The sequence below is a fragment of the Homo sapiens genome, chromosome 7 (genome assembly GCF_000001405.40).
Source record: "Homo sapiens chromosome 7, GRCh38.p14 Primary Assembly".
In the NCBI taxonomy this organism is placed as follows: domain Eukaryota; kingdom Metazoa; phylum Chordata; class Mammalia; order Primates; family Hominidae; genus Homo; species Homo sapiens.
The window spans coordinates 5,614,020-5,637,666 of NC_000007.14; the positions used below are offsets into that span (position 1 = coordinate 5,614,020).

The following is a 23,647-nucleotide window of genomic DNA, read 5'->3' on the forward strand; positions in this document are numbered from 1 at the left end:
GAGCCCATGGGCAGGGGTTGTGGTCTCGGCCAAACCCCAGCTGGCAGCTGATGGCAGCCACCCCGGGGTCCTCAGATATGGCACAGCTGCCTGGCTGAGCCTCGGCAAAGGGAAGCCTTGTGGAAAATAGCAACTCAGGGATGTTGTGAGTAGTGGGCTGAGCTGTGGTTTATTTTTTAGAGACAGGGTCTTGCTCTGTCACCCAGGCTAGAGTCCAGTGGTGTAATCATAGCTCACTGCAGCCTTGACCCCCCAGGCTCAAGTGATCCTTGTGTCTTGGCCTCCTGAGTAGCTAGGACTATAGGTGCATACCACCATGCCTCGCTTGTTTTTTGTTTTGATAGAGATGGGGGTCTTGCTAGGTTGCCCAGGCTGGTCTGTAACTCCTGGGCTCAAGTGATCCTCCTGCTTTGGCCTCCCAAAGTGCTGGGATTACAGGCGTGAGCCACTGTGCTGGCCTTGGGGTGTGGTTTTATGTGGCCATAGATGACTGAGATGGGTGAGAAGCGGGACCTAGGGGAATATACAGGGCAGGGGGATCCGACAGGGGGACAGGAGGGCAGACAGCTCCTGGAAGGCCTGGGAAAGAGATATCAGGGCTGGACCCTGGAGAAGTGAGGCTTTGAGGGAGGGGAGGAGATGGGGCCTGGCGGGGTACGGGCGCTGCTCCTAGGTCTGAGGGCATCGGCGGTCTGAGAGCTTGCGGGAGGGAGGGCTGCCTCCCGGTGCTCGGTGCCCTGGCTCTCCTCCTTGCTGCTGGCTGGCCTCCTCCTCCTCATGCATCTGTGTGTCCTGGAACACAGGGCACTGTCCCTCTGCCTGTCCAGAAAAGCACGTGCTCCTTGGGGCCTGGCCTGCTCAGCCCTATGTCCCACCCGCTCCCTGCTGCTATTCCCAGGCCTTCGGGCCTCACTGCCTGGGGTGGCCGTGCTCAGCCCCACCCTGTGGTGCCATGGCCTCCCCACCCCTGCCCCGAACTGCCCCTGGGACCAGTTCCTTCAGCTCCCAGGACAGGGCCTGGCCATCCCTGTGGATTCTCCCTGTTCGTGGACCCCCATTGGTGCCCAGTCTCCTTGGACTGTCTTCTGAGCCTCTCTCAGATGTACCCCCAACTGTACCCTTTCACCCAGAGGCCATTTGGCAGCGTCCTCCAGGACTCCTGCCGTGGGGGAAGTCTCCACCAAGGCCAACGCGTGACTGCATCCCGAGGAGCTGATTTAAGATCTGGTTCTCAGGAACACCTGGAACTGGCCAGTCAGCATCCCCGGCCCTGCGGTCTGCACTTGGACAAGGGTCAGGCAATGAGGATGAGCAGCAGGCGGGGCTTCTCCTGGAAGCCTTCCCAGCCTCCTGGGCCACTCCAGTGGGTCCCCTCCACAGACTCAGCCTGTTCCCTGCCACCTGGTGCCGGTTTCTCTGTGGCACCTACTAGGGGCCGAGTGCCCCGGGACTGCCCAGCTGAGCAGCGCCGTCCAGGTCTGCACCCAGCTACACTCAGGGCACGTGCACAGGTGAGCAGCCGGGCACGCAGGCACCTGCCAGGTGTGGGTGTGGACTAGGTGCTCCCGGGGGTCCCAGGTGGGGCTGACAGTCTCAGATGACCCTGAGAGGTTGGTCTGGTCAAAGGATTAGGCTTTTATCCGCAAGAAATCACTGGAAACGTGGGAAGGGACAGCACAGCTCTGTGGGACGGCGCAACCACCACCATCACAGCCGCTCTGCCCTCCCTGCCGTCCTCGGCCAAGCACTTTTCCTGTCTCCCCTCCCCAGTTCTCACAGCCCGAGGAAGATGCTGCGGCGATTCCCACTTTACGGCTAATGCCAGGCCCAGGTATGCCATACTGCTGTCAGGGCTCTCACCACCCCACCTTGGGTGACTCACACCCAGCAAGATGGGGAGCGTGGGACCTGACTCAGAAGCTGGTGCTCACCTGAGTCCCTCTCCTGCGGGTTTAACTGGCACCTTCTCCTGGGGAGAAGCAAAGCCAGAGGTCCTGGGCCGTCTCCTCCAGACATGTGTGCAGACGAAGGGACAGGAAGCGACGATGAGTGGAACTGATGATTGGACTTCATCCTGACCAAGAGGCACACACAGCCAGTGACTGCAGAAGTGACCACGTCCCCCCGCAGGGGTCCTGAGAACAGAGCTCGTGGCCTGGCCTGCGTTAGCTTCACACCAGCCTAGATGACTGCAAGAAATTCAAAGAGAAGGCAGATGGAACGTGCTGTGAGAGGTTCTCAAAGGCAAAGAGCTAATTAAAAAGTCTGTTTCAGAAGCACTTGCTCCTGTCTTGTAAATGCTCCAGAAAGGAAAAGCAGAATGCAAACCTTCATGTCAGCTGGGTGCGGTGGCTCACGCCTGTAATCCCAGCACTTTGGGAGGCCGAGGTGGGAGGATCATGAGGTTAGGAGATCGAGACCATCCTGGCTAACACAGTGAAACCCCATCTCTACTAAAAATATAAAAAATTAGCTGGGCGTGGTGGCGGGCGCCTGTAGTCCCAGCTACTCGGGAGGCTGAGGCAGGAGGATGGCATGAACCCGGGAGACGGAGTTTGCAGTGAGCCAAGATCGTGCCACTGCACTCCAGCCTGGGCGACAGTGAGACTCTGTTTCAAAAAAAAAAAAAAAAAGAAAACCTTCATGTCTGGTTCACTAGTTTCATGAGTACTGTATATATCACAGTAAAAGATCACACCTTGCAGAAGTACATTGAGATGTGATCAGCAGTTATCTTTGGGTTACAAAGCATGTCTATTTTTGCTTTATATTTTTGTTTTCAAGATTTTCCTACTTTGCATATACATTTTCTATTTTTTGTACACTTTTGATTGGTAAATGTATTTTGTGTTTAGAGGGAGTCTCACTCTGTTGCCCAGGCTGGAGTGTGCAGTGGCATGATCTCAGCTCACTGCAACCTCTGCCTCCCAGGTTCAACTGATTCTCCCGCCTCAGCCTCCCGAGTAGCTGGGACTATAGGCACCCGCTATCACACCCAGGTAATTTTTATATTTTTGTAGAGACAGGGTTTCACCATGTTGGCCAGGCTGGTCTCGAACTCCTGACTTCAGGAGATCCGCCCACCTCGGCCTCCCAAAGTGCTGGGATTATAGGCATGAGCCACCGCGACTGGCTGGCAAATGTATTTTTTAAGATACTTTTTTTTTTCGAGACAGAGTCTCACTCTGTCACACAGGTTGGAGTGCAATGGCGTGATCTTGGTTCGCTGCAACCTCCATAAAAAAGACACTTTTTATTATTACTTTTTTTTTGGAGATGGAGTCTCACTCTGTTGCCCAGGCTGGAGTGCAGTGGTGCAATCTCGGCTCACTGCAACCTCTACCTCCCGGGTTCAAACAATTCTCTGCCTCAGTCTCCCGAGTAGCTGGGATTATAGGCACCCACCACCATGCCCAGCTCCATTTTGTATTTTTAGTAGAGATGGGGTTTCACCATCTTGGCCAGGCTGGTCTTGAACTCCTGGGCTCGTGATCCACCCGCCTTGACCTCCAAAATACTGGAATTATAGACGTGAGCCACCACGCCCAGCCAAAAAAGACACTTTTTAAGGATGGAAAAATAAAGGAGGTGGCTCACACCTGTAATCCAAGCACTTTGGGAGGTTGGGGTGGGCCGACTGCTTGAGCCCAAGAGTTCAAGACCAGCCTGGGTAACATGGTGAGAACCTCCTTTTTTTTTTGAGACGGAGTCTCGCTTAGCTGCCCAGGCTGGAGTGCAGTGGTGCGATCTCACCTCACTGCAACCACTGTCTCCCGGGTTCAAGTGATTCTCCTGTCTCAGCCTCCCGAGTAGCTGGGATTACAGGCACCCGCCATCATGCCCAGCTAATTTTTGTACTTTAGTAGAGACAAGGTTTCACCATGTTGGCCAGGCTGGTCTTGAAATACTGACCTCAGGTGATGCGCCTGCCTCGACCTCCCAAAGTGCTAGGATTACAGGAGTGAGACACCTCGCCCAGCTGTTGAGTCCCCTTCTTTACAAAAAACACAAAAATTAGCTGGGCATGGTGGCCCACGCCTGTAGTCCCGGCTACTTGGGAGGCTGAGGTGTGATCGCTTGAGCTGGGAGGTTGAGGTTGTAGTGAGCCGTGACTGCACTCTGCACTATAGCCTGGGAGTGCAGTCTTAGATCTTTTTCTAAGACAGAGTGAGATCTCATCTCAGAAAGATGGAAAAAAGGCCAGGTGCAGTGGCTTACACCTATAATCCCAGCATTTTGAGAGGTCGAGGCAGGAGTGGATCACTTCAAGTCAGGAGTTCAAGACCAGCCTGGCCAACAGGGTGAAATCCTGTCTCTACTAAAAATACAACTGGCTGGGCACGGTGCCTCACGCCTGTAATCCCAGCACTTTGGGAGGCCGAGACGGGCAGATCACAAGGTCAGGAGTTTGAGACCAGCCTCGCCAACATGGTGAAACCCTGTCTCTACTAAAGGTACAAAAAATTAGCCAGGCGTGGTGGTACACGCCTGTAATCCCAGCTACTCGGGAGGCTGAGGCAGGAGGATCGCTTGAACTTGGGAGGCAGAGGTTGCAGTGAGCCGAGATTGTGCCACTGCACTCCAGCCTGGGCAACAGAGCAAGACTCTGTCTCAAAAAAAAAAAAAAATGTATGATGGAAGACATAAAAAGAACAAGTTGGATGCAGACAGAGCTATAGACCTGGAGGCCAGTACGTGACTGTTAAGGGAGAAAAGCAAGGTACTAACTTCTTTAAAACCAAAGGCCCCCAAGTCCTGATCAGGTGTGTTGCAATGTGCTGGCCAGCGCCTGGGGAAGGTGGGATGAATACCACCACCCTGGTCACTTTGGATGGAAAAAGGATAGCAGCAGAACGGATACATAGCTTTTACTTATTTACTGAAATTGCAGAAAATTTTATGATATTGTTGCAAATATAGAGGAGGAACAGGAACAAGGACTGCATGCCATGAACAAATTAAAAATAAACACAGATTGGGCCGGGTGCGGTGGCTCACGCCTGTAATCCCAGCACTTTGGGAGGCCAAGGTGTTCAGGTTACCTGATGTCAGGAGTTCGAGACCAGCCTTGCCAACATGGTGAAACCCCATCTCTACTAAAGCTACAAAAAAAATTAGCGGGGTGTGGTGGCAGATGCCTGTAATCCCAGCTACTCAGGAGGCTGAGGCAGGAGAATCACCTGGGAGGCAGAGGTTGCAGTGAGCCGAGATCGTGCCACTCTACTCCAGCCTGGGTGATAGAGCGAGACTCCCTTTCAGAAAAAACCAAAACCACATTTAGAAGCTGGGAATGTGGGTAACCTTTTGGGGGATGTAACTTTTCTCTTGAAGCTTTTAGTATACTTTTTCTCAGACATGAGAAAGACAGGTAATTGTTCCATAGAAAGTTGCATACGGCAGGAGACCCTGTTTTATTAAAGCGAGCTGTAGTCCATCTGCATTTGGAGTTCACAGCTTCCCCTGTGCCCAGGGCCCCCTTCAGATCTAGGGTCCAGATTCCTGCCTGGCCTGGTACATGGCAGGAAGGACTCCGGAGGAGAAGAGGCTGTGCCAACAGCGAGGGTAGCAGGGCCCTGGCACTGCAGTGTCTCACCAGTCAGGGAAGGGACTCAAATGCCATGGCCTCTCAGCCCAGGCACTTCCTGTCCTTGGAACCTTGTCCCCTCCTCAGCTGGGCGAGGCTTCTCCTGGTTTACTTGACCTTTAGGTGGGCAGACTGGGGAAGGGGCCTGCAAAAGAAACCGACTGCACCTTTCTTGCAGGGGATTCTGTGCCAAAAACAGATAGACCCTTTGTGCCCAATGTGGGCCTTGGTAGCCGCCCTAGCGGGATTTGCCTAGCAGATCACCTGATCTTCCTCCCTGGCAGGGGAGTGGTGGGGATCTTACTACTGGGCCTTCCGGGCCTGCTCCTGCCAGGACCCAGTCGGGGAGGTGAGGATGCTGGTTTAGACCCAATCACTTGGACGAATCTGTCGGCGGCCCCTGTAACTTGCCGGATGGCGGGGTGGAGAGACGAAGCTGGAGGGAGCAGAGCGCACAAACATTTATTTACAAAAGTCCCAGTTACATATGATACAGGCTTTTTACACACAGTAGTTGAAACGGAATTATTTTATCTATTTTTACTACCAGAAGGTAAAGAAAAAGTTTAATGAACTAATCGTTTCTTGTTTTTATACAAAGTGACAGATCATGCACATTTTTTTCAGTTTTTAAATATTTTGCTAAGTGCAAATACTAGATTCCTCTCTCCAGTTTTAAGGCAAGTAAGAGGGGGCTGTGGCTGGGGAGCCTCACGCCCTGCGGCAAGCCCTGCAGGGCAGAGAGAGGGAGCCAGCTGCCTCAGGGTTGCCTGTTGTCTGACCTGCTCTCTGGGCACTGGCACGGCCCCTTGCTGGCTGGTCTGAAGACCCCCAGTGCTTCTCTCCCCAATGCTGTCACTGGTCCAGGCAGGAGCCCGAGGTTCAGGCCCTGCCTCTGGACAGAGGGGCCTGGAGAACCAGGGTGGGTGCTCACGGCAGCCCTGTGGTCCCCCGTGCCTGGCTCGGGGAGGATCCTCAGGAATCAGGGACCCTCCAAGGAAAGAGGCCGCCGCTCCTTCCCCACCAGCCCAGTGTGGCCAGAACAGCTGGAACTCCTCTCAAATGACCCACCCCTGGGGTTTGGCCTTAGGAGAAACATCACTCTGGGCTCCCCCTCCCCTGCCAGGGTTGAGGCCAGCACCTGTCTAGGGCTGTTTCTGCAGCTGCTGCCTGCTCCCTTTGTCCTGCCTGGGGCTCTTGCTGGAGCCACGTGCCTAGGGTACAGGGCAGAGGGAGCTGAGGCTCCCAGGGCCTGAGGTCACCTCTTCAGCTGTGATGTCTACAGCCGCCCTCTGCTCCCAGAGATCCTCCCTGGGGAAGCACAGGGAGCATATTTAAGGTACCGAAGACAATCCTGTTGCTGCCGCATGGAGCCTGCCTTTCCAAGGCACTGTCGTTCAGGCTAGTAGCAAAGTTCAGGCAGTCCAACAGGTATGGGCGCCAGCAAGGACATAGCAGCAGGCTGCCCCCAAGCCCGGCCTCCCTGCGCACCCTTACCCCAGGTCCAGGTGACCACCTGTCTTCAAAGCCTCCATCCTGGGCAAAGGCAGAAAGAATGGGTATCTTAGTTTTTTTTTTTTTTTTTTTAAAGATAGAGTTTTGCTTTTGTTGCTCAGGCTGGAGTGCAGTGGCACAATCTTGGCTCACTGCAACCTCTGCCTCCCAGGTTCAAGTGATTCTCCTGCCTCAGCCTCCTGAGTACCTGGGATTATAGGCATGCGCCACCTTGTCCGGCTAATTTTGTATTTTTAGTAGAGACGGGGACTCAAACTCCCGACCTCAACTCATCCGCCCGCCTCGGCCTCCCAAAGTGCTGGGATTACAGGCGGGAGCCACCGCGCCGGGCCATCTTAGATCTTAGAGCCCACTTTAGTCCTTGAAATACATCTGAGAAGCCAATGGCAGCGAATGACGGTGCCCGCCTGCCCCAGGCACCTTGGGTGGGCCAGGCCCTGCTTCAGGAGGTGGCGGGCCACTCCGGAGACTGATGCAGCCCCACCCCAATGGTTGTCGGACTCAGCTGTGTCTGAGGTCTGTGAACTCCCAGCCTCTCAGAACCCCATGGCAACACGACAAGGACAAGGCAGGGCATGAGGAGGAGGAGAAAGTGATGCCTGTGGCCAGGAAGGCTTCAGACCTCTCATCTGTCAATGGGCCAGAGTGATGCCTCAGGCACCGCTAGAAACCCAGGGCCGGACAGGAGGCGAGGAGGGTGAGTGGGGACATGGCAGGGCTGAGCTGATGCTCAGCTGACTCCATGAGAAGGGAAGTGACCTTCACATGGGGGATACTGGACAGCACCCTCTACCTGCCTTCAGCAACCACTGAGAACACCCGGGGCACACACGGGGCAGGGGTGGCACCCAGGGTCACCTGTCTCCCTAAGGAGGCCCACTCCTCCCCCAGAAAGCCAGGGGGGAAAAGCTGCTCATCACCCAGGGTGGCAGAAACGTCTCCCCCAGCAGTTGGGCTGCCCAGCAGGGCCACCAGGCCTCTGTCCCAGCTGCCTTAAGAGGCTCTTTCAATGGGCCAGCTTCAGAACCATCCAGTGTACCGCAGCGGCCTGGCCTGGGAAAGGATTTCTCAGCCTGACTTTCCAGAGACCGAGGATGAGAAAGTTAGGCGGCAACAGAACAAAACCCCCGCCGCGAGATGGGTCTGCTGCTGCCTCATCTGAGTAGGTGTAAGAGGGGAGGAGAGGTGCCCTCAACACTCACTGCAGTGGCGCACGGGTTTTGGATGGGGGGACAGCATCTTGGCCCTCACAGCTGTGGCAGTGCCTCTGCGGGCCATGGTCCCAGCCCCCCACCCTGAGCAATGCTTCCCAGGCCCGCAGGTGCAGCCCCCTCTGCCCTTGGCCCAACCGTGGGCCCCTCCAGGGAGATGCTCTCGGCTGCCTTGCTACCCAGGGGTCGGCTCCGAGGAGAGGCCCAGGTGTGAGCAGCAGGGACCTGGTCTATGGCCTATGCCATGGACAAGGCAGAAGGACTGCCGTTGGTGGCCTGGGGGATGCGAGGGGAGGGGCAGTTCACATCGCAGCTCTCTCCGAACTCCACCATTTGGGACGTCTTTATTATGGATCCGTCCACTCTTCCAGGAGCAGTAGCCCTTCTAGGAAAGGGGTGGGAAGAAAACCAGCCTACCCTTCAAGCTGACTTAGGATGCAATGGTACAGACACCAGCCTTGGGGGAGGGTTCTCCATCCACACTCCTACCCCAAACGGGCTTTGTGCTGCTCAATGGGGATTCGGGGCCATCAGAAGCGATGCCGCGGCTGGGGGCCAAAGTGCATGGGCAGGTTGTGCTCCAGGGGCATGTGGATGGGACCGAAGTCATAGTTGACCCGCACGTTGGGCAGAGGGGGCACGTACGGGGCTGGGATAGGCCCCATGTTGAGTGGGAAGTTGTTGAACACAGGCCGCACGGGAGGCAGGGGGAAGGGTGGGTGCGCGAAGGCATAGGGTGGCATCTGTGGCTGTGGCAGGTTCTGCGGAACGGGCCTCGGGAGGGCCTCCACCCTCTGCACCTTCTCCACAGGCTTCTCCAGCGGGGGTCCAATGCGTTTGAAGGTGTTCTCTGAAAGGGATGTGGGGATTAGTGGAGAAAAACATTAAACCAACCTCAATGGAATCTAGCCTGGGACCAGGGCAGCGACCTCTGGACACGGGAGTGGCTCCACATGCTGATCAAAGCACAAAACGTGGACACCTCCCAAATGCCACTGCAAGAAACCAAGAACAAATCTGTACTTCCACCAGTGTCTTGCTCCACAGTGGCACCTTGGAAGGTGGCACGTCCACCCACCCAGCCAGACATCCTTCAGAGCCAGGGCCTTGATGGGCCACCTCAGTGACTCAGTTACTTTTTTTTTTTTTTTTAATAGATGGGGTTTTGCCATGTTGCCCGGGCTGGTCTCAAACTCCTGGGCTCAACTGATCCACCTGCCTCACCCTCCCGAGTGCTGGGATTGCAGATGTGAGCCACTGCACTTAGCCTCTTTTTTTTAAAGAAAAACAGATGGGGTCTTGCTATTTTGCCCAGGCTAGCCCCAACCTCCTGGGATCCAGTGATGCTCCCACCTCTGCCTCCTGAGGAGCTGGGATCGCAGATGTGTGCCAACACACCTGGCTTCACTGCTTTTCAGCCTCAGAAGGATCAGCTGGGTCTACTTTTCTTTAGCCAGGTGTGGCTTGATTGATTCCTGAGCTCAAACCCACCCCTTGGGACTTCCTCACCATCAAGGAGATGCCAAAACTATATTCAAGGCGTTGAAGGCCTTTCCATAAGCCTGAGATGTGGCCGCGTGGGTGAAGTCAGGTCTATAGCCACCTGAGGGACAGCACCCCCTCCTCTCCTGTGCTGGGTTGAGTGCCAGGACACTCAGGGAGGCCAGCAGAAGCCTGCATGGCCTGGCTGCTGCTCTGTCCTGGGGGCCTGGGGAGGGGCACTTGCCTCCATTCTTTCTTTTCTGTTCCTCTTCAGCCTCCTTCTGGATTTCCTCAATAAGCTTCTCATCATCTTCCTAAAACGCAAGCAATGAGAAGGATGAACCTGTAGCTTCATGCAGTGCTGAGGCCCCGTGGGACAGTGAGGAGGCCGCTTGTTGCTTATGGCCATGGAACAAGCCCGAAGCCTGCTGCTGGCCAGTGGGGCCTGGGCTGCACACCGTTCCTTCCTATTTCCCCGAAGGCCTCCTTCCTTCATCAGCCTGATGGCGTTCCACAAGGAGGCCATCCACAAGGCTGGGCAGAGGGGTCTGAGCATGGCAGGCAGCTGCCTGGTGAGGTGGGGGGATGGAGGGCCTCCATGCACTGAGCTGCGTGCAAGTGGTGGATATGAGAAGGGTTTGGAGAGGGCTGGGTCTGAGTGGGCACAGCCTGAAAAGTTTCAGATCCCAAGTCCACAAGCGCTCGGCATGGCAGCCTGTCTGCAGAGCCTGGAAAAGTCTTGCAGATGTCCTCAACTGAGATGGACAAATGTCCAGTCGGGCCCTGCTTAGCCCCCAAGGCTGGCCTTGGCTCCTGGGCCAGGCCTCGGGGAGAGGAGGAAGGTGCGACAGTGAGGATGGTCCCCCTCGGACCTTGCCGTCTCTTCTCCCAAACCCCATGCTTGGTAGGCCTGAAATAACAAACACAATTCACACTTGGGTTATCCAAGCCTCAGACACGAACCGAAGAGGCACTGTGAGTGCAGGCAGATGTGGGAGCTGTGCTGGGAAACTCAGGGGCCACACTGGGCAAGCCCCAGAGGTTGGGTTTTTGCCACATGCAGCTCCCACACCCCCACCTGCCAGCAGACACCATGGTGGGAGGACCGGGCTGCTGCCTCAGGACAGACCACCCGTGATGCCTGCTTCATGAGTGGCGCTTACCTTAACCCCCCTCCTCAGTGACCCACAAAACAGCTGTGCAGTTTGTGGGACTGAAAGACGATTAACTGGATTGAAAAAACCCGCCAAGTGGGTGCCCATCTTTCCTGGCTGGCTGCAGGGCCAAGGGGCTAAGGTGTGGGCCCGAGGGGGCTGAGGCTCACAAGCAGCAGAGTGGCAACACCGTGGCAAACCCAAACACGCCAACTGCCGGCTCAGCAAGCAGGAAAGAGATAGCTGACTATAGGAGGGCTCTGTTCCCTGAGGTCCTCCAGGAGTTGAGAGCAGCCGAGCTGGGGAGAAGGATGGGGAGGGATGGTGGTCCCTGATATCGTGAGAGGATTAGCAAGTCCCAACAATGCAAGCAGTCTAATGAAAGCACATTTATTTTCCTAGACACGGCGTCAGAGCCTAAATATCTGGCCAATTTCTTTGCTGTGGGTTGGAATATTAATAATGATCAGTTTGGATTTTTTCATGCCGATCTGATGACACCCAGAGCAGCAACTGGAAGGAAGACAATCCTTGGCCCAGTAGAAGATGGGCAGCCCCATCGAGGGCTAACCAACGGACAGTTTGCAGGTTTACTTACTAGGTTATTAATGTCACAGCCAAGACAGAAATGAGTGATTTCCCCACACAATTGTTTGTGAACCGCAAGGATTCTGGAGTTAGGAATTTCCTTCACTAAACGTGCACTGCATGCCTACTCTGTGCTAGACACTGTTCTAAGTTTGCTGATTAAACTTCAGATCAACAATGAAACAGAAAGGCAGATGGACTGAGTAAGTAATTAGATAACACATTCCCTTGGTTTGGTAGATGAAAGATTCTTAGAATAAACTCCCTGGAGATTGGTTCTATCTGCAACAGTGGATGACACTATTAAATTCTCCTACATTCTCTAGGCCTCAGATGCCAAGTGATGGGTTTGGACTAAAAGGTCTCATAAGCTTCTTTCCAACTCTGACACTTGGACATTCTTAAGATACTCAAGTCTGTTTTCAGCAAAAGGAGCCTCCTTGCTGCTGCCTGGCCACGTGTTCTGAGCAAGGCATGAAGAGAGGAGAGGTGACAAAGGTCAAGTTCCCATCATGCATTTCAAGAGTTGCAAAGTGCCCAAGCACACCACAGAATCCTATGTCTGGAAGGAATCCTGAGGGAGCTGTCTCTCTCCAGGGTTAACACATAAGAATTCTCTATCAAAACCCCCAGATGAGGTCATCTAGCCTCTTTGTGAACACTCCACAAGGGGGAACTTACTACCTTCAACATAATCACTAAGTGAGTCAACATGAAGGACTGCAGTAACTCAAGAGGGTTGGGTGGGCAGTTTGAAGGCCTCCATGTGAATATCAAGGTAGATGCTATCAACTCTCTAGACTGGGAGCTGGCAAGCCTCTTCATTTTGGAGCCAGTGGCAGGCCTAAGAAAAAAGACTAAAAAAAAAAAAAAGAAAAAAAGAAATGAACCAAAAAACCCCAACAAATTAAGCGAACTGATCCAGAAAACTGGTGGGAGGATCACTTGGGCCCAGGAGTTTGAGACCAGCCTGGGCAACAAAGTGAGATCCTATCTCTACAAAAAATACAAAATTTAGCCAGGCATGGTGGTGTGAGCCTGTAGTCCCAGCTACTTGGCAGTGATCGTGCTACTGCACTCCACCCTCCACCCTGGGCGACAGAGTGAAACTTGTGTTAAAAAAAAAAAAAAGGAAGAAAGAAAAAAGAAAGAAAGTTGTGCAGCAGGAGGGCCGTGGGCCTACACCTCTTAGCTAAGTGAGCTCGGCAGGTTCCTGAGTATCCCTGCGTCCAGGAAGCTCATCTGTAAATGGGCTGCTTTGTTAAGGACTGAATGAGCTCAAGTATGTAAAGGATGTAGCCCAAAGTAAATGCTCATGATTAGGACACAGGAACACTGAAAAATGACAGGTAGAGAAGTTTCATGAAGAAGTGGTGCACACTGGGAGACACCCACAGTATTTCTTTCAGGGGTCCTCACTCTGGTCCGTTACTAATCACAACCAACAGGACTGCACAACCACCACTCTGCCTCACCTCAACCTCTGCCGCATCTCCTCGATGCAGTTACACCATCAGTCCCCAAGGGACACTTATGGCCTTCGATGGCACAAGGGGGTACCTCAGGAATCATTCATTCCAACCTCTGTAGCACAGAAACTGAGGTCCCTGAGAAAGTACCTTGTTCAATGTTACGGCTAGTTGGCGGTAAACTGGGACAAACACACACACCGGGCCACTCAATGGTCCTCCTGGAGGAAATCCACAGAAAAGATATCCTGAAGGTGTCCCTGCCCCATACACAGCAGCCACACCAGTCAGGACCGTGCTGGACGCTGCAGACACAGTGAGGAGTGTGGCAGCCTTGGCCCTCCTTGTGAGGGCCTCACGTCTCTGCTATGAGCAACGTTCCAACGGGCACCTCTCTCTGAAATTCCACATGGATAGAAGGGGCAATTTCATAGCATTAAAGACTAGACACTCGGTGGTTCACGCCTGTAACCCCAGCACTTTGGGAGGCTGAGGCAGGCGGACCACGAGGTCAGGAGATAGAGATCATCCTGGCTAACACGGTGAAACCCTGTCTCTACTAACAATACAAAAAATTAGCTGAGCGTGGTGGTACACGCCTATAATCCCAGCTACTCGGGAGGCTGAGGCAGGAGAATGGCTTGAACCTGGGAGGTGGAGGTTGCAGTGAGCCGAGATCGCGCCACTGCACTCCAGCCTGGCGACAGAGGGAGACTCTGTCTAAAAAAAAAAAAAAGACTAGCCACTAACCCCCTTTTTTCCCTCAGACTCTCCCCTGATAAAACACGAGGGACAAGAGAGGCTCTCTTTTGGGGAGAAGAGCTCTGGCCCCCTGTGGCACTGCTGAGGCTGAGAGCATGCAGGCCACTGCCTGATTTTTATCACTAAGCTTCCGTGATAAATCCCAGTGCTCCTGAATAAATCCTATTTCAGAACTCCCTCAGAAGGGTCTGAGGCACCTGCATAGGAGCGCGAGCCCAGGTTTCTGATACAGATCGGCGGGGTCTGGAGGACACTGCAGATAGAACCTTCCCAGCCTGCCATTCAGAGTTCTTCCTGGAGAGGAAGAGGGAGCCTCAGAGTCCCAAGGGAATAAAAGTGTCGCATCCTCACCCTCCGAAGACAGCCACCCCAGAGCCTTTCTTCCAATCCCTCCCTCTGCTCTGATCACTCTCCTGATTGGCAAGTGGAATCAAGACCATTTGCCCTTGAGTCCTGTCTTGGGAGTCACGCCCTTAGGAGTCTAAAGACAGTCTGGTTTGTATTTCACCCAAAATGACGGCACTCAGCTACAATGACCTACAATTTTATCATAAATCATGAGCCAACTGTCAGTTATACCTAGATATAGGGTTAGGTGTTTCAGATTTCAACTGTCTCCAACTGGCTAGAGTCACAGGACACTGTGCTTAATAACTTTAATACAACTTAAAAGTTTTTTTTCTTTTTTAAAATAAAAAAATTACGCTTTTAGCTAATATGTTAGACTCTAAAGGGAAGATTTCTTTCCTTTTCTTTGAGACAGTGTCTTGCTCTGCTGTCCAGGCTGGGGTGCAGTGGCACCATCATAGATCACTGCAGCCTCCACCTCCTGGGCTCAAGAGATCTTCCTGCCCTAGCCTCTTGGTAGCTCAGACTACAGGCGCCCACCACCATATCTGACTTTTTTTTTTTTTTTTGTAGAAATGGGGTTTCACCATGTTGCTCAGGCTAGTCTTGAACTCCTGGGCTCAAGCGATGCACCCAACCTTGGTCTCCCCAAAATGTTGGGATTACAGGCATGAGCCATCACACCCAGCTGGAAGATTTCTTTCTTAATTTGGGGAGGAAGTTCCTTCCACAATCAGTTTCTCTGAAGCATTTGAAATTCCTCAAGTCAAGAGTGAAGACAGGCCAGGTGCAGTTGGCTCATGCCTGTAATCCCAGCACTTTGGGAGTTCGAGGTGGGTGGATGACTTGAGGCCAGGAGTTAAGAGACCAGTGTGGCTAACACGGTGAAACCCCATCTCTACTAAAAATACAAAAAATTAGCCAGGTGTGGTGGCGTGTGCCTGTAATCCCAGCTACTCTGGAAGCTGAGGCAGAATTGCTTGAAGCTGCAGGTGGAGATTGCAATGAGCAGAGATGGCGCCACTGCACTCCAGCTTGGGTGACAGAGCAAGACTCTGTCTCAAAAAAAAAAAAAAAAAAGTGAAGACAATTCCAGTGCTTTGGGAGGCTGAGGCAGCAGGATCGCTTGAGGCCAGGATTTTCAGACCAGCAAGGGCAACACAGTGAGAACCCAGCTCTACAAAATTTTAAAAATTAGCCAGGTGTGGCTACTGGGGGGCTATTTGTGGGGCTGAGGTGGGAGGATCACTAGAGCCCAAGGAGGTTGAGGCTGCAGTGAGCTATGATTGTGCCATTGTACTGGCACAACAGGGGAAGATCCTGTCTCAGAAAAAAAAAAGTGAAGATAACTGAATTGTAAACTTAAAAATGGCAAATTTTATCTTATGCTTCACCACAATTAAAAAGAGGGAGGGGCCAGAAGCGGCGTCTTGCGCCTGTAATCCCAGCACTTTGGGAGGCCGAGGCGGGCGGATCACGACGTCAGGAGTTTGAGACAGGCCTGGCCAATATGGTGAAACCTCATCTCTACTAAAAATACAAAAATTAGCTAGGTGCAGTGGCAGGCGTCTGTAATCTCAACTACTCGGGAGGCTGAGGCAGGAGAATCACTTGAATCTGGGAGGCAGAGGCTGCAGTTAGCCGAGATGGTGCCACTGCACTCCAGCCTGGGCAACAGAGCAAGACTCTGTCTCAAAAAAAAAAAAAAAAAAAAAAAGAGGGAGGGAGGGTTTAGGATTGATTTTGAGGTTAAACATGAGGCCTAGTCCCTCATAAGATACTTCTTGGACTTGGGATAAGTGACAGATGGGGTATTGAGTCCATTCTGGAGTCAAGTCCCTCAGGAAACATTCCAGGCATATGAGCATCACCATCCTGTGAAGAGGACACTTGGAAAAAGGCCACGCTACAAATCTAGGACACACCTAGGCTGCTGGGAGAGGGGAAAAATAGAAGGAAAGAGGATGAGGAGGAGCCAGGGGCTGAGCTGGATCACAGCACAACTGTCCTGCTGTCTCGGGGCTGAGTCACAAACAGGAAACCCTGGTGGTAGAGCTGCCTGGATGGCAGGGTGAACTCATTTTAAAGCAGTGCTGGCTTCTTCAAGAGAGGCTGCTGGCGTCACGGGAAGAACTACAACTCTGGGGCTCCAGACCTGGCTTGAGTGCATATGCAGCTCTACCCCCACTACCTAACCTGGAACCCACTCCTTTCCAAAACAGGTTAGGGTGAGAAGCCAATCATCTCGTACCTTTTTTTTTCCCTCTAGACAGGGTCTTGCTCAGCCCAGGGTGGAGTAAAATGGCGTGATTATAGCTCACTGCAGCCTTGAACTCCTGGGCTCAAGTGATCTTCTCACCTTAGGCTCCCCGAGTAGGTGGGACTACAGGTGTGTATCACCATGCCCAGCTAATTTTTAATTTTTCTTATAGAGATGGTGGTGGAGGGGGAGTTCTCACTGTGTTGTCCAGGCAGGTCTCAAACTCCTGGCCTCAAGCCATCCTCCCACCTCCGCCTCCCAAAGTGCAGGGATTACAGGTGTGAGCCACTGCACCTGGTCTGATCACTCTTATAAAGCGCCAAGCACAGTGACAACAACAGTAGTTAACATGCACTGAGAGATTACTATGCACCAGCCCCTGTCTACACACCTCACATGGACCTCAGTTTCACCACAGCTCCCTGAGTCAGGCACTATGAACTGATTGCCACGCTGCAGATGAGGAAACCCTGGCACAGCGAGGTTGTGACCCAGGCAATCTCGTCTCAAAGCCTGAGCTGTTAACCACATAACCCCTCAGGTTTCTGAATCGGAACTTCTGGCAAACCTGACTGGGGGCCTGAGAACACTGCTGTCGGGCTGGGAGCGTGTGTCAGAGGCAACTGTTCTAAGGTGTGCTTTATTCTATAAAGAGTGCAGAAACACAAGAGGGTTCCTTCTGAGAAGAGCAGAATTCTGAAACCTCCTTTCTCCCCTTACAAGACGTAACAGGACAAAACAAAACAAAACACTTCTACTCAAGGAAACAAACAGCCAAAACGCAGAGCAAGGGGCTGTGTTTTGGAAATTTTTAGGGAACAATCCTCCTTTTCTCAGGCTCAGCTTACCCAGAAGTGCATGTGCCATCCCCTGAAACAGCCCACTTGTCGGCCTCTGGTCCCTGGCACTTGTCCTTTGGGATGAAAGCCAGTAGATTCCTCTTGCCCAGAGTGGGAGTGGGGAGCTTGGGAAAGCTCATAACCCTCATCTCTTGAGCCAGAAATCTAAGCTGCACATGGGGGCCCAGCACTGAGGTGAGAGGCTGTAGTGCCTCCCTGGGTCACTGGTCTCCAGTGGCCTCTGACCAGGTGCTGTTCTCAGCTCACTGGTTTTGGTCCATCTCAAAGGCAGAAGCGAATGCTTCAAGATTTCCTTGCCTGACATGTTTTCTCCTGACACTACCAAGTTACTTGAATCCCATGGGGGTCCCATGACATTTTCTCTTTCTGGCCTCTTCTCGTCACAAAAAACTCAGGGATTTGGTTCTCATCAACATAAAAAAAAAAATGCCATTATTTCTTTTCCTTATACATATTGATTAAAACAATCTTGGGAAACATTGAACAAAACAACACAGCTAAAATCAGCCGTAATTCCTCACCAGAGATCAATCCTGGGAACATTCTGATATCTTTTCCATTGGCTGCTTTTATATCCACACTTCACTGTCAAGCCCACTCAGATTCCATTGTAGAAGGTCACGCTCTGCCCCCACGAGGTCCTGCTGCCTTGTACGGATTGCTTAGCTCACACCCCCTTCTCCACGCCACGGGAGGCTGGCAAGGATTTCATAAGAGGACCCTGAGGCTCAGAAGATGCAGAGAGTGGCTGGACCACCAAGGTGGGCAGTGTGCTGAGGCCAGGGCAGGAGGTCTGGACTTGTAGGTTCCAAGGATGGCCGGCAGTTCTCAACTCTGCATGGCTCAGGCTGGGTTGCTGGGCTCACCCTGGACAGCGGTCTATAGAGGTTCACCTGAACCTATTTGAGATCTGAGTTCCTGTTCATGCCATTTGCCCTGGCCAGTGGGGGCAGGAGGGGCTGCTGGCTGCATCTTTACTCGCTGCCACAGATCCATGACAGACCATGGTGCATCCCCTCGAGGGCTGCAGTCTCTGTGCCTCATCCTTGGTTTCTGGCACAGGCCTTAAGAAGGACCCAGCTGGCCTGAATGAGTTCTGTCTCTGCTCTCCTTCTGGCCCCTCCTAATCCCAGTGAAAACTTTCAAATGAATTCTCAGCACAGCTCCTTTCTGATGAGCAAGGCCAGGCTGAGGTGAGAGGGAGTGGATGCTGATCAGCGACCAAGGTGTCCCTGGATCAGCAAGGGCTCAAAAGAACAAGCGTAATGATGTGTCAGGCCAGGGTAGAAGTTAGCCCTCCAATCACCTGATGTCAGGGGTTCGAGACCAGCCTGGCCAACATGGCGAAACCCCATCTCTACTAAAAATACAAAAATTAGCCAGGCGTGGTGGTGGGTGCCTGTAATTCCAGCTACTTGGGAGGCTGAGGCAGCAGAATCGCTTGAACCCGGGAGGCACAGGTTGCAGTGAGCCAAGATCACGCGACTGCATTCCAGCCTGGGCGACAAGAGCAAAACTCCATCTCCAAAAAACAAAACGAAGCCCTCCAGTGCCCCATCGCTACTCCAGAAGGTGTACCTATGGATCACAGTGGGATCCAATGAGTACCATGACGAAGCACACGAATGGCACCACAGTGGGCAGTGCACCCCAAATGCAGTGTCAAGGACAAAGGGTCAAAGCAGAGAGTGAAACGGGAGTCTCACCCACCCAGCGGAACTGGAAGAGCACTTTCTGTTTTTTTTGAGACAGAGTCGTGCTCTATCGCCCAGGCTGGAGTGCAGTGGTGCGATCTCTGCTCACTGCAACCTCCGCCTCCCGGGTTCAAGTGATTCTCCTGCCTCAGCCTCCCAAGCAGCTGGGAGTACAGGCGTCCGCCCCATGCCCAGCTAATTTTTGTAGTTTTAGTAGAGACGGGGTTTCACCATATTGGCCAGGCTGGTCTCGAACTCCTGACCTTGTGATCCACCCGCCTTGGCCTCCCGAAGTGCTGGGCTTACAGGTGTGAGCCACTGCGCCCAGCTGGAAGAGCTGGAAGTAAGGCCGGGTGCGGTGGCTCATGCCTGTAATCCCAGCAATTTGGGAGGCCTAGGCAGGTGGATCATTTGAGGTCAGGAGTTTGAGACCAGTCTGATCAACACGGTGAAACCCCGTCTCTACTAAAATACGAAAATTAGCTGGGCCTGGTGGCGTGCACCTGTAATCCCAGCTACTCAGGAGGGTGAGGCAGGAGAATCACTTGAACCCAGTAGGTTCAGGCTGCAGTGAGCCGAGATCACATCACTGCACTCCAGCCTGGGCGACAGAGGGAGACTCCCTCTCAAACAAAACAAAACAAAACAAAACAAAAACAAGGAAATAAGCGGATTGCATTTTAACAGGGAGGGAGATTTGTTTCCTTTCCTTGAATTCCTTTGAGCTCAGCAGGGCGCAGAAAGAACTCAGCCTGACACAGAAGACTCTGGCTTGCTGCCTGCTGCATGCAGGTAGGGTGGGTGGGAGGAAGACGCAGCAAGAGCTTGTGGGGATGGCAAGCACCCGGCCTTTCCAGAAACGTGCTGCACTTGAAGACGGCAAGTGAGGTAGAATTTACCAGAGAGGTTTTAATTAAGAAGAGAGAAACAAAACATACACAAACATCCTCCCTTAGCTTGTCCCTCCACAAATATGCCCCACAGTTCTGTCCACGCAGCAGGGTATAGACAGGAGAAAACGAAGAAAGAGAAACTATGAGTGATTAAAAAGGGGAAAAGATTCAATTTATTTTCACAAATCAGATATGAACAGTAATCAGCAGCCACAGGCTGACTGTTCCCAAAATAACCATTTGAGCGCTTGGCACAAAACTATTTTTGCCAAAGCCTTTACGGTCCTTTTGAGACTTTTTTTCCAACACTTCTGGTCCCCAGGGCTGGCTGTCCACGTGCCTGCTGGCCAGCCTCCTGTGACCATGGGGGAAGAACGGGTGGCTTTTCTTCTTCATTGCACTTTTCCTCCCCTTAGAAAGCTGACTGGGAATTGCAAGTCGACTGGTGCTTCCCCTCTGAGATTCTGGGGGTGGGTTGGGGCTGGGATCCAGGTCATGTGTGGCCACAGCTGTTGTTAATAAACTTGCAATGATTTCATGAGAGGCTTCCAAAGAGCTTAAGATTTAGTTTCAAATTATTCCCAGATTAGCCACAGATCGCCTGAGCAACGGCAGACCCTTAGCCCCCACCCCTTGCTGTCCCCAGCAACAGGAAGTTGGGGGAGGGAGCAGCAGAGCTTGGAGTGGCACATGCTGCGCAGCTGTGGCTGGGAAGGGCAGGGAGGCAGGACAGTGTGCTGGGGAGGAGCAGAGACTTCACGGGCTCAGGGCTGGCCCTGGCTTCTGCAGCCACCTCCTCAGGTCAGACAAGCCCAGCACCCAAATACCACTATCTGGAGCACTTCCCCCACAAGGACCTGGAGATGGGGGCAGAATGTGGCCATGTTTTGCGTCCCGTCAGGGTCAAGTGCTCACCCAGGGGCCTGGTGGGATCTGCTGAAGACATGTAGCAACAAGCACCAACAGGCCGTGTGTACTGGACTGTGCTGCCCTGCTTGGGAAAGCCCTCAGTGACATCGAAACCCTGTCTGGGACACTGCTGGGGTAGCAAAACTGCCAGGGCCCCTTTCTACTATTTGCAGCTTCATTCATCCATGGGGAAAGAGTCTGGCGAGGTCCCCACCCCTCTGCAAGGGCTACCTGGTTCATGGGGCTCAGGGACCCTATGGGCACCTAACGACCATGTATTTGTGGCAGGAGCCAGACACTGGTTGGAAGACCTGGGCTCACATCCTGGTCTCACCAAGCTAGGGATCCTGGGCTAGTGACCTACACATCATCTCCCTCATCTGCAAAATAGGAAAGCACTGCCTCCCAGTCCCATGCAGTAAAAATCACACTGCATAGCACGCTCACATGGTGTTGGCTGTGTGGCTATTAAGAGGAAGATGAAGAAACCGAGGTCAGTTTTGATGACAGATCAATGATCACACCCACCCCACTAACTTCACTTTTTTTTTTTTTTTTTTAACACACAATGATATTTATGACAGTGATGAGAAATAACACGCCAAAGCCAGCTGTGGAAGCTGGGTGATGGGACAATCTGGGGGCTCACTTTACTCTTTTGTAGAATAAATTTTTAAGGTTAAGGAAAAAATTCTGAAGCCAAAAATCAGTTTCCAACCTAAAAGTCTAAAATACCTTTCCTTACCAGGTTTCTGCGTTTCCTCATCAATCCTCCCTTTCACAGCCTTCCTCCCTAATTCCAACAACATCATGTCCTTTCCCCTGCCGCTTAAGCCAGGGTCCCAAAGGTCCCCAGGACTTTCTGCATGCCTGATCCACCAGGGAGATGCTGCGCTGGCCTGAGGGGAGAAGGCAGGCCTGGGAATACTCCGAGGACAAATGACCCGGGTGGAAACCCAGGCTACCATTTACTGGCCACAGTCTTAAGCAAGTAAAACCAGGATGATACATCTGCCTTCGAGCACTGCTACAGAACTGAATGTATTAACATCTATAAATGTTAGGCTCAGTCCACTGCTGGTTTGGAAAAATGAGTGTCTCTTAACCAAATGGCTAGGCGATAATTGTACCAAATTAAACTGGCTGTAAAAGCCCTAGGGTTTTATTTGAACTGGACAGGTTTCAAACTCTTACATTCAAAAGACAAAGACACTGTAGAAAACAATTCTCTGTAGTTTCTCGTAGCCAAAACCCAAGACAAACACGGACTTTGTTTTGTATTGAAAGAGAACATGCTGTTTTAAGTTTTGCCATACTCTCAAATCCAGACTGCCAGGTGCCTGTTCCTCTCACAATTTGCTCCCCACCTCAGCTACCACTCCTGTGGCCATGCAAGGACCAGTCAGTATATTCACGTTCAGTAAAGTTCCAGGATCACTCTTCCCCTACTGCAAAATAACGTCTGTTCACTTATGTGTCAAGAGCTGGCTTTCCACTCTGCTCCCTAATCCAGAAAACTGTGGTATGCTGTGACTGTTCGCTTCTGGTTTTTTGCTTCCTAAAGAAGACACCTTCTTTATAAGACTCTTAGTTGAATGCTTTTGGCTTCATTTTGATAACTAACAGAGAAAGAAAGTTACTGTTCACCACTTGAGCTCTTACTGTGGAGTGGTAGTTCAGGTTCCCAAGCAATCCCTAGTCATTAAGGATGAAAACTCAACTTCCCTCCAAAACCATGATGGGACAACTCCCTCGCTGACAAATAAGAGATTCTTCCTGGCCCTGCTGGTTAATTAAGCCAGAGAACAGGCTTGTGTGACAGTGCATGCTTTGTTTCACTGAACTTCTGAATGGCTTTGTGTTCTCAGAAGCCCCAACAGATGCTGGGTTGGAATTCGATCGGTCTCCTGGTGAGAATCAAGGAAACGGGGCTGATCGCTGTTTTGATGGGAACGGGACAAACGGAACAGAATCTCCGGCTGTGGCTATCAGAGGAAATTGGAGGGATTTGTATTTGCCTGACCTTCCTTTCAAACTTTATTTTGAGCAAATCTAGAAACTTTCTCAGGTTAGAAGATGACGATCCAACAAGAAAACAACAAGGCAGTGCATGCTATGGCACCCAAACAAGGAAAAAGCACATGAGAAACCCACACCATCAATCCCAGGCATGGGAAGCAACGGGAGGAGGCAGCAGAAGACACAGAACGAGGAGGAGAAGAAAGAAAAAAGTGCTGAGAATAGGCCAGACTGTTAACACCCACCCTCACGCTAACTCCCACTCTGCCCTTTGTCTCTAGAGATGAAATACTGCCTGTGGAGCTCTTCATAGCTCCAGCTGAAAAAAAAAATCTATTTTTTCAAGATTCATGAAGTTCCTAGAGATGGTTGCCTCCCACTGTGCTAGCTGCCAGGGGGCTGAGGAGGTGAGTCAGCAGAAGGGCTGTGCCTGGGAATGTCTGTCACACAGGGGCACGGCCTGCCTTGTGAGCACTTCCCACTGTGGGCTGCACCTCCCGATCACCCAGCAAAAGAAGGATGACTCGGGCTTGGCTTTCTATGTACAAAAAGCCTCCTTTTCTTCCACACATCTCCTTAGTGACAGGAGGGCAGGCTAGCTAAGGGTTTCACTGGGTCATAAGCTTTGTAATCTGAGTGATTTTTAGGGGTCTCTTATCCCAGCTTCCCACCCAGTTAGGAGCTTGTTCCGTGATAGAACATTCCTGAAATAGAGAACACCTGGTTACCACAGAGGACTCACATCTTTTCAAAACCATGAGTAGCTCTCAGGATTATACATTTCTTTCCCTTTTTTTGAGACATGGTCTCACTCTGTCACCCAGGCAGAAGTGTAGTGGCGCAGTCAGGGCTCACTGCATCCCTAACGTCCCGGGCTAAAGCAATCGCCCTGGAAGGAG

At 52.3% G+C, this 23,647-nt stretch overlaps 1 protein-coding gene across 8 annotated transcripts in view, besides 4 other annotated features; it reads right to left on the bottom strand.

The window, feature by feature from the left end:
* Positions 1,743 to 2,482: an enhancer, noted in NCBI's record as "H3K4me1 hESC enhancer chr7:5655393-5656132 (GRCh37/hg19 assembly coordinates)". NCBI's record gives its function as "activates a minimal SCP1, AML or CMV promoter by ChIP-STARR-seq in primed H9 embryonic stem cells {active_cell/tissue: H9 hESC(primed)}" and the evidence as "EXISTENCE:reporter gene assay evidence [ECO:0000049][PMID:30033119]".
* The window catches only part of RNF216 (ring finger protein 216), a 161,617-nt gene continuing 143,997 nt past the window's right edge, over positions 6,028 to 23,647 (bottom strand). For all 8 annotated transcript variants that reach the window (NM_207116.3, NM_207111.4, NM_001377156.1 and 5 more), the window contains 2 exons: positions 10,037 to 10,106; positions 6,028 to 9,160 (listed from right to left, as the gene is read on the bottom strand). In NM_207116.3, coding sequence (NP_996999.1) covers positions 8,841 to 9,160; positions 10,037 to 10,106 — 390 coding nt within the window. In that variant the 3' untranslated portion in view covers positions 6,028 to 8,840. The remainder of the gene's footprint in view (positions 9,161 to 10,036; positions 10,107 to 23,647) is intronic.
* Positions 13,179 to 13,850: an enhancer, noted in NCBI's record as "H3K4me1 hESC enhancer chr7:5666829-5667500 (GRCh37/hg19 assembly coordinates)". NCBI's record gives its function as "activates a minimal SCP1, AML or CMV promoter by ChIP-STARR-seq in primed H9 embryonic stem cells {active_cell/tissue: H9 hESC(primed)}" and the evidence as "EXISTENCE:reporter gene assay evidence [ECO:0000049][PMID:30033119]".
* Positions 18,268 to 22,894: an enhancer, noted in NCBI's record as "VISTA enhancer hs1623". NCBI's record gives its function as "enhancer in: midbrain (mesencephalon)[4/5] | branchial arch[5/5] | facial mesenchyme[5/5] | other[4/5]" and the evidence as "EXISTENCE:transgenic organism evidence [ECO:0001131][PMID:17130149]".
* Positions 20,317 to 21,236: an enhancer, noted in NCBI's record as "H3K27ac-H3K4me1 hESC enhancer chr7:5673967-5674886 (GRCh37/hg19 assembly coordinates)". NCBI's record gives its function as "activates a minimal SCP1, AML or CMV promoter by ChIP-STARR-seq in naive H9 embryonic stem cells {active_cell/tissue: H9 hESC(naive)}" and the evidence as "EXISTENCE:reporter gene assay evidence [ECO:0000049][PMID:30033119]".